Source organism: Homo sapiens, chromosome 5, assembly GCF_000001405.40.
Source record: "Homo sapiens chromosome 5, GRCh38.p14 Primary Assembly".
NCBI classification, from domain to species: Eukaryota; Metazoa; Chordata; class Mammalia; order Primates; family Hominidae; genus Homo; species Homo sapiens.
The window spans coordinates 31,317,539-31,329,663 of NC_000005.10; the positions used below are offsets into that span (position 1 = coordinate 31,317,539).

The 12,125-nt window shown below is 37.6% G+C and overlaps 1 protein-coding gene across 4 annotated transcripts in view; it reads left to right on the top strand.

The window, feature by feature from the left end:
* CDH6 (cadherin 6) overlaps positions 1-11,608 on the top strand; it is a 135,461-nt gene extending 123,853 nt beyond the window's left edge. For 2 of the 4 annotated variants that reach the window (XM_011513921.4, NM_004932.4), the window contains exons 11-12: positions 135-386; positions 5,280-11,608. In XM_011513921.4, the coding sequence (XP_011512223.1) occupies positions 135-386; positions 5,280-5,770 (743 nt within the window). In that variant the 3' untranslated portion in view covers positions 5,771-11,608. Of the gene's footprint in view, positions 1-134; positions 1,843-2,053; positions 2,274-5,279 lie in introns of those variants that run through there. The other 2 variants (XM_047416591.1, NM_001362435.2) reach the window with 2 other exon arrangements.
* Positions 11,609-12,125: the final 517 nt, after the last annotated feature.

A 12,125-nucleotide genomic window follows, 5' to 3' on the forward strand; every position in this document is an offset into this window, starting at 1 on the left:
GTAACTGTTTCTGTATGTATATGTGTATATGTATATGTACATATCTGTATCTATATCTATCTTTTCTTATCACAGTTGATTTAATACATGACGCAGTATCCACATACATTCACCACTTTGCTTTCCGGTTCCAGACAACACGGCGGGAATCTTAACTCGGAAAAATGGCTATAATAGACACGAGATGAGCACCTATCTCTTGCCTGTGGTCATTTCAGACAACGACTACCCAGTTCAAAGCAGCACTGGGACAGTGACTGTCCGGGTCTGTGCATGTGACCACCACGGGAACATGCAATCCTGCCATGCGGAGGCGCTCATCCACCCCACGGGACTGAGCACGGGGGCTCTGGTTGCCATCCTTCTGTGCATCGTGATCCTACTAGGTAAACTGGTTCTCCCTGCCTCCTATCTCCCCATGGTGAGGGGCTCACACTGTTACTGTGACACTCTAGATTTATCTGCCTCCCCCATTAAGGCATACAGCCTGATCTAGGTGAGTCGAGTTACATACTGAGAATCTGTGCTGTACGATGTGAACTCATTTTTGCTTGCAAATGGCTTTGGAAAATGAACAGATGTGAAACTTGCTCGTGTCTTTGCTTGCCCAGGAAGCAAAGAATCTCTTGTCTATCAGACTGGGAATGAATCTCGGGGGATTTCAGGGCAACATAAATGTGCCCTTTTCATTTCATTCGTTGTGTAATTTTTTTACTTGGAAAACGTTGTTAAGTGTCTGGCATGGAGTGTATGATGAGGGCCCTTTCTATAAAGGTAAAGTTTAAAGATCTATGGGAAAGTGGGAAGAGGAGTATGATGACTTTTCTCTCATCCTAGAAAAATAAAAACTATGAAATTTTTTTAACCCAGCAAACTAATGTTGATTTACCATTTAAATGATTACCTTCTTAGCATTACTCTCTGATTGCCACATGCATAAGGTCTATTCCTCACACTCAACAATAAATAACTTCTGTGATTGAGGAAATCAGTATGGGGGCCCAAAAGAAATGAATGTAATAAAAATGGAAATCAGGGTCTAACAATGATTCAAATGAAATTTTTACCCCTAACCAACTAATTAAGCCTACAAGTCGAGCTCAGATTTCTCAACAGGTCCTTGACTGTGAACTAAGAAATCAAATATTTGTTAATGCAGCCCTTCCAAAAATGAAAGCAAGATTTGTAAAGCTTGCCTATATAGTGAAAAGAAAAGGTAAGAAGTTAAGAGTCAACCTGAATTATACAGGGGGAAATACTCTTTTTTAAAAAATGAAGACAGAGTGACTTTGAGAAGAGTGAAAGAGAACCCGCATTTCACCAAGAACAGAATGCCCAGGGATCCCTGCTCTAGCGCTCCTTCACGCTCCACATCAACCCTGCTAACTATAACAGAAGCCTTGAAACTCAACTACAGAACTGCGATTCTCTTTGTCAACTAAGACTTGGGGAAAGTATTTTAAGATATGCACATAAATAAAAACTGACAGTGTGCAAAGACAAATCAGTGTTTCTAATGGTGTGAGTCTGTAAGCATTGTTTTGGAAGAGAAAGATATGAATGTTCTTTTTGATCAAAAGGGTGATTTTTTAGAAGCCTTGGATTGGTAGGGCTGTACCCAAGGAGTATTCCATGGACTCTTTTTGTCATCTGTGGAAGGAGAGATAACTCTCATCTGACAGTGGTGATTCTTCCTTTCTGTCATCATCTACCTCCGCCTTTCATTTCCTTCCTCCCATGAATTCACTGTCTCCTCATGACTTGTAATTGGCCTCAGTGCCTCCCACATCTTGTTTAATCTCTTTGGAATTCTGTACCTAATAAAAAAGGAGAAAAATGGGATTTAGCCTTTGTTAGGTATACACCATAGGTCAGATGCTGTGCAAGATGCTTTACAAAGGTTTTTCTCACCTAATCCTCAGCACCATTTGGTGTATAATTATCTGTACCTTAAATATGAAAACTGCAGCTCCAAGATGTGAAGTAATGTAGCCAAGTCACGTGTCTAACACGTGGTAAAACTAAAGTTCCCAACCTAAATTTTCTTCCCCAGGCTTGGTGCCTGAAGACTGCACTCTACTTTCTTTTCAAACTTATGAAATGCAGGGCGATTTCCAGGCCAAAAGACAGCCCAAACTTAAAATGTGACGATTGAAGAAAGTGGAGGAAAATGAAGCAAAGCCACATTGATATAGGAAGAAATCTGGAGTCCAGAAAGTGGATCATATGGTAATGGATATTTTACAAAAATAAAACAACAGTAAAAACAACTAGACAACTACTACATCTCATGTCTTATGGTGCCTTAGAACTTGCAAAACTTTCACATTTATTAACTCATTCATGACAATAAGACTGGGCACTGTGCTATTAATTTTCTTTTACAAATAAGAAAATAGGCTTAGAACGGTCAAATCATTTAATTTAACCCAGATCTCTTTACCCTCTAGTTTTACGATGAAATTTGAACACAAATTTGCCCAATTGTCCCTCTATTCCGCCAAAAATCTTACTGCTGTCCTCTGGCTTCAAAAGGGTAAGGGAAAGGGGGAGACTCAGTTCCTGCTGAGGGCACCTCATAGGGCATCACTTTCTAAGAATGTGTTTGCCCCATGTGCTTAGCAATCACATTTTCACTTTATAAAAGTTAGCTCTGAGAGCTCTCCTTCTAGACAGCGACACTCTCAAGAAATCCTGTTCAGATGTGCATTGGGCTAATGAGAAAAGATATAAGCAGTTTTAGCTGTAGAAGAATTAGACCTTGAATAAATGCCTTTGATTTTTTGAAAGTGCCCTCTCCCTTCTAGACAGTTGCGCTTTCAGACGTGCATAAGACTAAAATAAAAGCTATAGATACCTTAAGCCAGGGAAGAATTAGGAGGTGATAAATGCCTGCCCCTTGCCTTACGTGACTGAATGAGCCCATGTACATAAGAGCTTAATTCTTGGAGAGACAGTTGGCTTGATTCTGTTCTCTAATCCCAATGGATGTCCTTACTTCCAACCCTCTGTTTTGCAAATCCGTGTCATTGTTCACACTGGCAACCAGTATGAAAGGTAGATCATGAGCATCCCTCTGCCCAAAGCCCTGCAGTGCTCTTCATGTCTTTGCTCAAATTATGCAACCTCCCTCCGATAACATATACAAAACTGTGCTGGCTGGGCATGGTGGTTCACGCCTGTAATCCCAACACTTTGCGAGGCCGAGGCAGGTGGATCACTTGAGGTCAGGAGTTCGAGACGAGCCTAATCCAACATGGTGAAACCTCGTCTCTACTAAAAATACAAAAATTAACTGTGCATGGTGGTGGGTGCCTGTACTCCCAGCTACTCAGGAGGCTGAGGCAGGAGAATTGCTTGAACCTGGGAAGCAGAGGTTGTAGTGATCTGAGATCGTGCCACTGCACTCCAGCCTGGGTGACAGAGTGAGATTCTGTCTTAAAAAAAAAAAAAAAAAACTGTGCTGTATGTTCATATGGGCTCCTCAAACATATACAGAAGTATTTTTCTCCACCTTGTTCTGCTCTGCTCTTTCATGTTCATATTGCACTTATCACCTTCTAACAATTTCCTTATTTACTACACACATTGTTTATTTTGTCTCCATCCAACTGTCCCCCACCCCACCCACCCACTCAGTGCCTAGAACTGTACCTGGTACAGGGTAGGCACTACATAAATATTATCAAATGCGTGAATGAATAAATACCCTGAATGGTTGCATCAAACAAGGCATCAGGATACTTTCTGGCAGCAAAAGAGGGTGCATACAACTACAAAACCACACACTTGAAAGTGGCAAAGTTACATTTCCTTTGGAAATAGTCTATACTCCAAATCTGCTTCAAAACATGGCAATTATGAATGCAGGCTTTTTAGTCTGACCAACCTGAATTTGAATTGCATGTACCTGTAACATCTTTAAACTTCAACTTCCTCTTATGTAAAATGGGGTTTTAATGATGGTATCTACTTGTAGGGCTATTATGATAATTAAATGAGATTCAGTATGTTAAGCACTTAGTACAGGGCTTAACACATGGAAAGCTCTCAACGGGTAACCAATTATTATTATTAATACTAATGAAATTTTAATATATAGATACATGGGTGTGCCTACATCTATTATTATATAGGTAGTTTTGTGTACTCACTAAAAAGGCATTATTCTGTAATTCTTATTGCAGTAATTCAGTTTTCATGTCTCATAAAAATTGGGCCTTGTTATGGATAAAATAGTAAAGAGACATTACTGTGACTTCCTGTAATACACTCCTCTGCACAAACCCAGTTTAACAATTCACTTTTTGGCCTAGATGGCTGTTTTCTCTCTAAGCTTTTACTGTGTTTTTATTTTTTCACCCATATGTCCATTCATAGATAGATGTGTCTCTCTACAAGTAGCCAGCTGTGTTCCACCCAGCCAGCTGTGAAGAAAGATCAGGAGCTATTTAAACGCAATTCTTGTTTTACCTCTAATTTGAGTTAGGAGGGAAAAAATCAAAAGAATGAACATTCTCAGTAACAAACTTATAGAACATGAACCTTTGAAAAATAAAAAATAAAAAATCTCACTTACATGTATTTATTTCATTTAGCTCAAACAGAAATAATATGGCATGTGGATTCTTACCTGCCCCCTTCAAATTAGCCAATCTCAAAATCCAAAATGGCTTTCTGAATTATATCTGGGTCTCTCCAGGTATTTTCTGGAATAATATTGCTTTATATGTAGGAAAGGTATGCAAATATTCAGTGTCTACTTTGGATTTTAAACTAATTTTACACTTTTCTCAGGTAAAAAAAAAAAAGGCATAGCGCAAAAGTTATTTTAGATGTGGAGTTGTGCAAACCCTTCAACACATTCCCAAAGGTGCCAGTCTTGTCCTTGTAACCAGTTTCAGAGCATTTTAGGTGTTCAGCATAATTTGCACCCTGATTGCAGTACTTTCACTGAGGCCGAGCTTCTTTTCTTTATTATTTTTTTCCTTACCTTGAAACTAGTTTGCCATTTCAAAGTAAAAAGGAACTACTGCCAAAATATGATGGTGTTTTATCCTCTACTTAAATTATAACCTTCTTTCAAATATTTACTCCATTTTATGGGTCCCGGTTTGATCATGGATGGAGGCAAGTGCATCCTTAAAGAAATAAAAGTTGAGTCTGCATTTTCTAGAGAACTTTTAAAACTTCACATTTGAGCACAGTGTTTCTTCCTGACATTAATTGGGCAGCAAATTAACTTTTCCTTCCCTTTCTGTTTTGTTTTCTGCTTCCAGTGACAGTGGTGCTGTTTGCAGCTCTGAGGCGGCAGCGAAAAAAAGAGCCTTTGATCATTTCCAAAGAGGACATCAGAGATAACATTGTCAGTTACAACGACGAAGGTGGTGGAGAGGAGGACACCCAGGCTTTTGATATCGGCACCCTGAGGAATCCTGAAGCCATAGAGGACAACAAATTACGAAGGGACATTGTGCCCGAAGCCCTTTTCCTACCCCGACGGACTCCAACAGCTCGCGACAACACCGATGTCAGAGATTTCATTAACCAAAGGTTAAAGGAAAATGACACGGACCCCACTGCCCCGCCATACGACTCCTTGGCCACTTACGCCTATGAAGGCACTGGCTCCGTGGCGGATTCCCTGAGCTCGCTGGAGTCAGTGACCACGGATGCAGATCAAGACTATGATTACCTTAGTGACTGGGGACCTCGATTCAAAAAGCTTGCAGATATGTATGGAGGAGTGGACAGTGACAAAGACTCCTAATCTGTTGCCTTTTTCATTTTCCAATACGACACTGAAATATGTGAAGTGGCTATTTCTTTATATTTATCCACTACTCCGTGAAGGCTTCTCTGTTCTACCCGTTCCAAAAGCCAATGGCTGCAGTCCGTGTGGATCCAATGTTAGAGACTTTTTTCTAGTACACTTTTATGAGCTTCCAAGGGGCAAATTTTTATTTTTTAGTGCATCCAGTTAACCAAGTCAGCCCAACAGGCAGGTGCCGGAGGGGAGGACAGGGAACAGTATTTCCACTTGTTCTCAGGGCAGCGTGCCCGCTTCCGCTGTCCTGGTGTTTTACTACACTCCATGTCAGGTCAGCCAACTGCCCTAACTGTACATTTCACAGGCTAATGGGATAAAGGACTGTGCTTTAAAGATAAAAATATCATCATAGTAAAAGAAATGAGGGCATATCGGCTCACAAAGAGATAAACTACATAGGGGTGTTTATTTGTGTCACAAAGAATTTAAAATAACACTTGCCCATGCTATTTGTTCTTCAAGAACTTTCTCTGCCATCAACTACTATTCAAAACCTCAAATCCACCCATATGTTAAAATTCTCATTACTCTTAAGGAATAGAAGCAAATTAAACGGTAACATCCAAAAGCAACCACAAACCTAGTACGACTTCATTCCTTCCACTAACTCATAGTTTGTTATATCCTAGACTAGACATGCGAAAGTTTGCCTTTGTACCATATAAAGGGGGAGGGAAATAGCTAATAATGTTAACCAAGGAAATATATTTTACCATACATTTAAAGTTTTGGCCACCACATGTATCACGGGTCACTTGAAATTCTTTCAGCTATCAGTAGGCTAATGTCAAAATTGTTTAAAAATTCTTGAAAGAATTTTCCTGAGACAAATTTTAACTTCTTGTCTATAGTTGTCAGTATTATTCTACTATACTGTACATGAAAGTAGCAGTGTGAAGTACAATAATTCATATTCTTCATATCCTTCTTACACGACTAAGTTGAATTAGTAAAGTTAGATTAAATAAAACTTAAATCTCACTCTAGGAGTTCAGTGGAGAGGTTAGAGCCAGCCACACTTGAACCTAATACCCTGCCCTTGACATCTGGAAACCTCTACATATTTATATAACGTGATACATTTGGATAAACAACATTGAGATTATGATGAAAACCTACATATTCCATGTTTGGAAGACCCTTGGAAGAGGAAAATTGGATTCCCTTAAACAAAAGTGTTTAAGATTGTAATTAAAATGATAGTTGATTTTCAAAAGCATTAATTTTTTTTCATTGTTTTTAACTTTGCTTTCATGACCATCCTGCCATCCTTGACTTTGAACTAATGATAAAGTAATGATCTCAAACTATGACAGAAAAGTAATGTAAAATCCATCCAATCTATTATTTCTCTAATTATGCAATTAGCCTCATAGTTATTATCCAGAGGACCCAACTGAACTGAACTAATCCTTCTGGCAGATTCAAATCGTTTATTTCACACGCTGTTCTAATGGCACTTATCATTAGAATCTTACCTTGTGCAGTCATCAGAAATTCCAGCGTACTATAATGAAAACATCCTTGTTTTGAAAACCTAAAAGACAGGCTCTGTATATATATATACTTAAGAATATGCTGACTTCACTTATTAGTCTTAGGGATTTATTTTCAATTAATATTAATTTTCTACAAATAATTTTAGTGTCATTTCCATTTGGGGATATTGTCATATCAGCACATATTTTCTGTTTGGAAACACACTGTTGTTTAGTTAAGTTTTAAATAGGTGTATTACCCAAGAAGTAAAGATGGAAACGTTAAAAGAAGAGAAATGTAGTATTTTGGGTTACCTGATTAGAGTGAAAATTTTTTACAATCATATTATTCCTTGTGTCTTCTGAATGGTTTCCGATTTTATAATGGACTGCCCTATATAGTAACAAGTATTTCATGCTTGAGCTATTTCCTGCTTTCAGGGTTTCTTTTTTCTAGTTCTTCATACACACACATACACACACACACACACACACACACACACACACACGAATGCAAACAAAAGGCTATATGAGGTCTTCACTCTAATGAATTGATATGTATCATAGTCACAGGTAAGTGTTGAAAAAAGCTTAGTAAAGTTAGAAGCTACTTACTCATAGCAATAGAACAGCACCTTAATCACACGATTTACTGTAAAATTAAAGAGGTCTCTATCTGTATGTTTCATGTCACGTAACAAATTGAATCAAGGAAGATAGTCCTGTAAAAAGAAAGGTATCATCTGAAGTTGAGGATTGACACTAGCAGTTTCCAATGTTTAAAGGTAAGATCTGAGTTCTCCTAATAAGTAAAAGTAAGTAGTTCTATAGCAGAATATCTGAGATGTAATTGGCAAGGTATTTTATCCCTCCCTGCAGATGACACAGCATACCAAGAACAGGTTAATATGATTACTTATGGAAATAACTTTAATCTCTTATCATAAAAGCTGATGATGAAGTAAATTTATAGGAAATTGGATAATTTGAGACTGGGGCTAAATATTTAGTACCAGGGTACTGTAAGTATCAAGTTGGAGTGACGTTTTCCTATAATTCAGACTCTTTGACATCGTGGAACCAATAAGAGTCATAGTTCCATCATTCTCCAGCTTCGTCTCACTTCCTTCCCACCCCACCTGAGTATCAGGTCAAACATCATTGCATGCGCAGGTTTTTTTTTTAATTGCTAGGTCCCAGGCAACATGAAAGATTATTGGAGAAAAAAATAATTTTCAGCCCAGTTTTTTCATTGTCTGTTTCCTAATTTTAGATGTTGGTGATGGGAAAGATGGAAGGAGAGTGGGAAGAAGTAAAATTTTAATATTTGTTTCAATCACTTTGAAACTAAAATTCATTAAGCATAACCAGATTGCTTTTGTGGGTTGTTTCAAGGACATTGAGAGCTTTCTGATGATATGTTTTTGCCCTCTATTCAAAAGCAAGAGTTCCTTTAAACTACTAAGATATTCCCTAGAATAAGCTGAATTTAAAAAAACATTAAGCCATTGTTTAAAGCCCCTTCACTTCCTGGCCACTTACTTCTGAAAGGCCTAAAAAACATTTGTGCCCAAATAAGTAAATAAACCAAATGGGAAAGAAGCAAAGATTATTCCATAGAACCACAAGAGAGGGAATGTGGGCACAGTAAATAGATGTTTCTTTCAGAACTTTCCTGCCTTTACAGTTTGTGTCCATAAAGGGATGTTCAGCAATGAAATTACTCCCTTTTCAGATGGAACAAAACCTGCCCATTTAATTTTAACGCAGTATAAAAAACGTGTGGTTTAGTTTTTATTTTCAGCTCCCAAAGAGTTGTGCAGAAAATCTTAAAATTTTTTTTTTTTTTTTTTTTTTTTTTTTGAGACAGAATCTCGCTCTGTCGCCCAGGCTGGAATGCAGTGGCGCGATCTCTGCTCACTACAAGCTCCGCCTCCCGGGTTCACGCCATTCTCCTGCCTCAGCGCCCCCAGTAGCTGGGACTACAGGCACACACCACCACGCCCGGCTAATTTTTGTTGTATTTTTTAGTGGAGACAGGGTTTCACCATGTTAGCCAGGATGATCTCCATCTCCTGACCTCGTGGTCCGCCCGCCTCGGCCTCCCAAAGTGCTGGGATTACAGGCGTGAGCCACCGCGCCCGGCCTTAAAAATTGAATCTGTAGCTTAGGCCATCCAAATTTTATAAATCCAAATTAACTTTAGAATGTTTCTATTACTTTCACTTTTACATATATAAATTTTAAGTGTCCTGATTGGCTGAACAATATCTCACATCAAATGCTTTGCCTGGAAATAGATATCCCACTGGGGATAGTGGTGTGTAAACTATGACTTGGACAATTCTATATACTCAAGCACCATAAAAAGTATGCAGTTGAAAAGAAAATCAAAGTTGATTCCTGGGTGCCAACTAAATATTCAAATCAGGTACTCATCCTTATCAGCTAAATTCATTTTCACCAGGAACAGACCACCAAATAAATTATTTTATCCTAATAACTAGTTTTGAAGCAGTGTAATTACTCTGGAAGAAGGCTCTAAAAAGTCATGATTCCCCCACTATTTTGAAATGTATCCTCTAACAAGGATCATTATAGTGTAATCTTAATTTTTATGTTTTATCAAGATGAAATCTTGTTTGAATTGTGATATTATAAAAGGGGACTCAAAAATCCAAGCAGTCTACTGTGTTTAAATTAACACCACAACCTTCCTTATCAGATTATAAGAGTAGAAAAATTAACACTTGGTGTGTGAATCTTCAGGAAAATGAGCTATTTCATAAGCTCAAACAAGCAGCTTCCTTTTCCAGAGAATATAGAATTATATTATGGTCTCCTTAAATGTTTAGTAGCTCTTATGGTCACAGCATTTTTAATCTCCCTATGGCATCTTTATGGAATAATTTTCTAAAGGGTAATTCTCTACTAAAAATATCAGACCCCGACCATATTTAATGTGGAGAGCAATACCCTCTTAGAAAGAAAATACATTGACTCATACACTTGTTAAAAGTTAATAAAGAAATAGCTCATTTTTAAAGCCGGAAGTTTATGGTCTCTGCATCGTCAATTTAATTTAAGCATTGCTGAGACAATCTTTAATCTACTCCCCTTTTTGTAATACCTTATTTATGGTGCATTTTCATTTTTATTTGGGGGAAACGTTAGCCCAACAGAGCCGGCAGATGAAAGTGTTGAAAAGAGGTCAAATGGAAACAAAGGCTCTTACCCGCTGTATTTCAGACAGGACTGAGGCACTTAGCCGAGGAGCCACTGGGTTATTAGATTAATTTCAAAAGAGCTTTTACAAGTTGCTTAATTCCTTTTTTTTTTTTTTTTTTTTTCAAAAACCCATGAACCACAAACTCAAATTTCTCCTCAAATGGGGTTAATCTGACAAACGAGGCATGGACCCAGCCTTGTGGAAAAAGCATTCCACGCTAATGAGATCTTGGTCTTTCTTGTGAGGCTACGTTATTTATGTAAATATGTCTGGAGGCACCTTCTCTAAGCTTTTAGTTTTCTATGATCTATTAGTTTAGTGTTTATTAAAGAATCAAATGTATAGAATTACCAGGCATTCGTGGGGAATGCTGTGTAGCAAATGTAAAACTGACCTGCTCGGAAGAAACGTAGGAACGCTTCAAACCCACTGTAATGTTTGGTTTGAGATTATTTTCATTGCTTTGAGAGTGAACTGCCTAAGAGTAGGCCTTATAATAAATGCTATGTGCGTCTTCAGTAGTTCCAAGCTAAAGCAATTTGGCATTCTCCCACTGTGATTTGTGACTTTTAAACCCACAAAATAAAAGCTTTTTGGTATTGATTGTTTTTAATTAAAAATACTTCCAAGTATAAATTGAAACGGATGCCACCCTTGAAGATTTACTGGCGGGAATGCTCACTCTTGTCGTTTTCCTCAGTATCGTTCATGTCTTTGGCAACAAGAACACCTGATGAAAGCAAGCAATGCTCAGTTCCCATCAACATTTCTAGTTAGGGGGATTCTCATAACCCCACAGTTTACCTGAGAAAGTTTTCTGTGTTAGAAGAATGGGGTCGAGAGTATTACCTTTTAGCTCAGTGTGGCCGGGCCTTTTGTTGCAGTCAAATGGCAAATACGCACTCCTTGAAATGGCTTCTTTTATTTGGTTTTGTTTTCTTAGACTTATAAATTTGAAAAGAATGCAATTTAAAAAGTGATTTCTCACAAAGAGTAAATATGCCTTTTGCAAATCAATTTTTGTAACAAGTTATTTATATGATATTACTTAATAAACTGGTTTTTTTCTAACTTGCTTTTTTTTCAATTCTCTCAAACTATTGTTTGTAATCACAGATTTTTTAAATATACATGCTGACATACTTTATCTTTCTGAACCTGCTGTTTTAACCTCTCAGAGAGCTAACAAAAGCTGACTTGTTGTACAATAATTAGCTTGTAAACAATAGTTTTTCCCAGCCAGCAATATATATCATTGGCACTGCCCTGCAGATTTCTTACTGCTGGGACATCAATAATTCTACTATTATTTATGGAATTGCTTTATTGAGAAGAAAGCTGTTTATTTTCATGGGAATTGCTTTAGATTTTAAAAAAAAAAAAAAAAAAAGGACAGTTCTATATTTTTGCCCCTCCCAAATCTCCATCCATTATTTCACTCCCATAAAAACAATTGTCCATGGGTCTCTGAATTAAAAAAAAAAAAAAAAAAAAAGATAAAACAGCAGTCAGATCTGAGGAACATAAAAATAAAACCCTTCCAGCATTCTGATACTATGAGTAAATAAAATGTTTTTAGCATATTTAG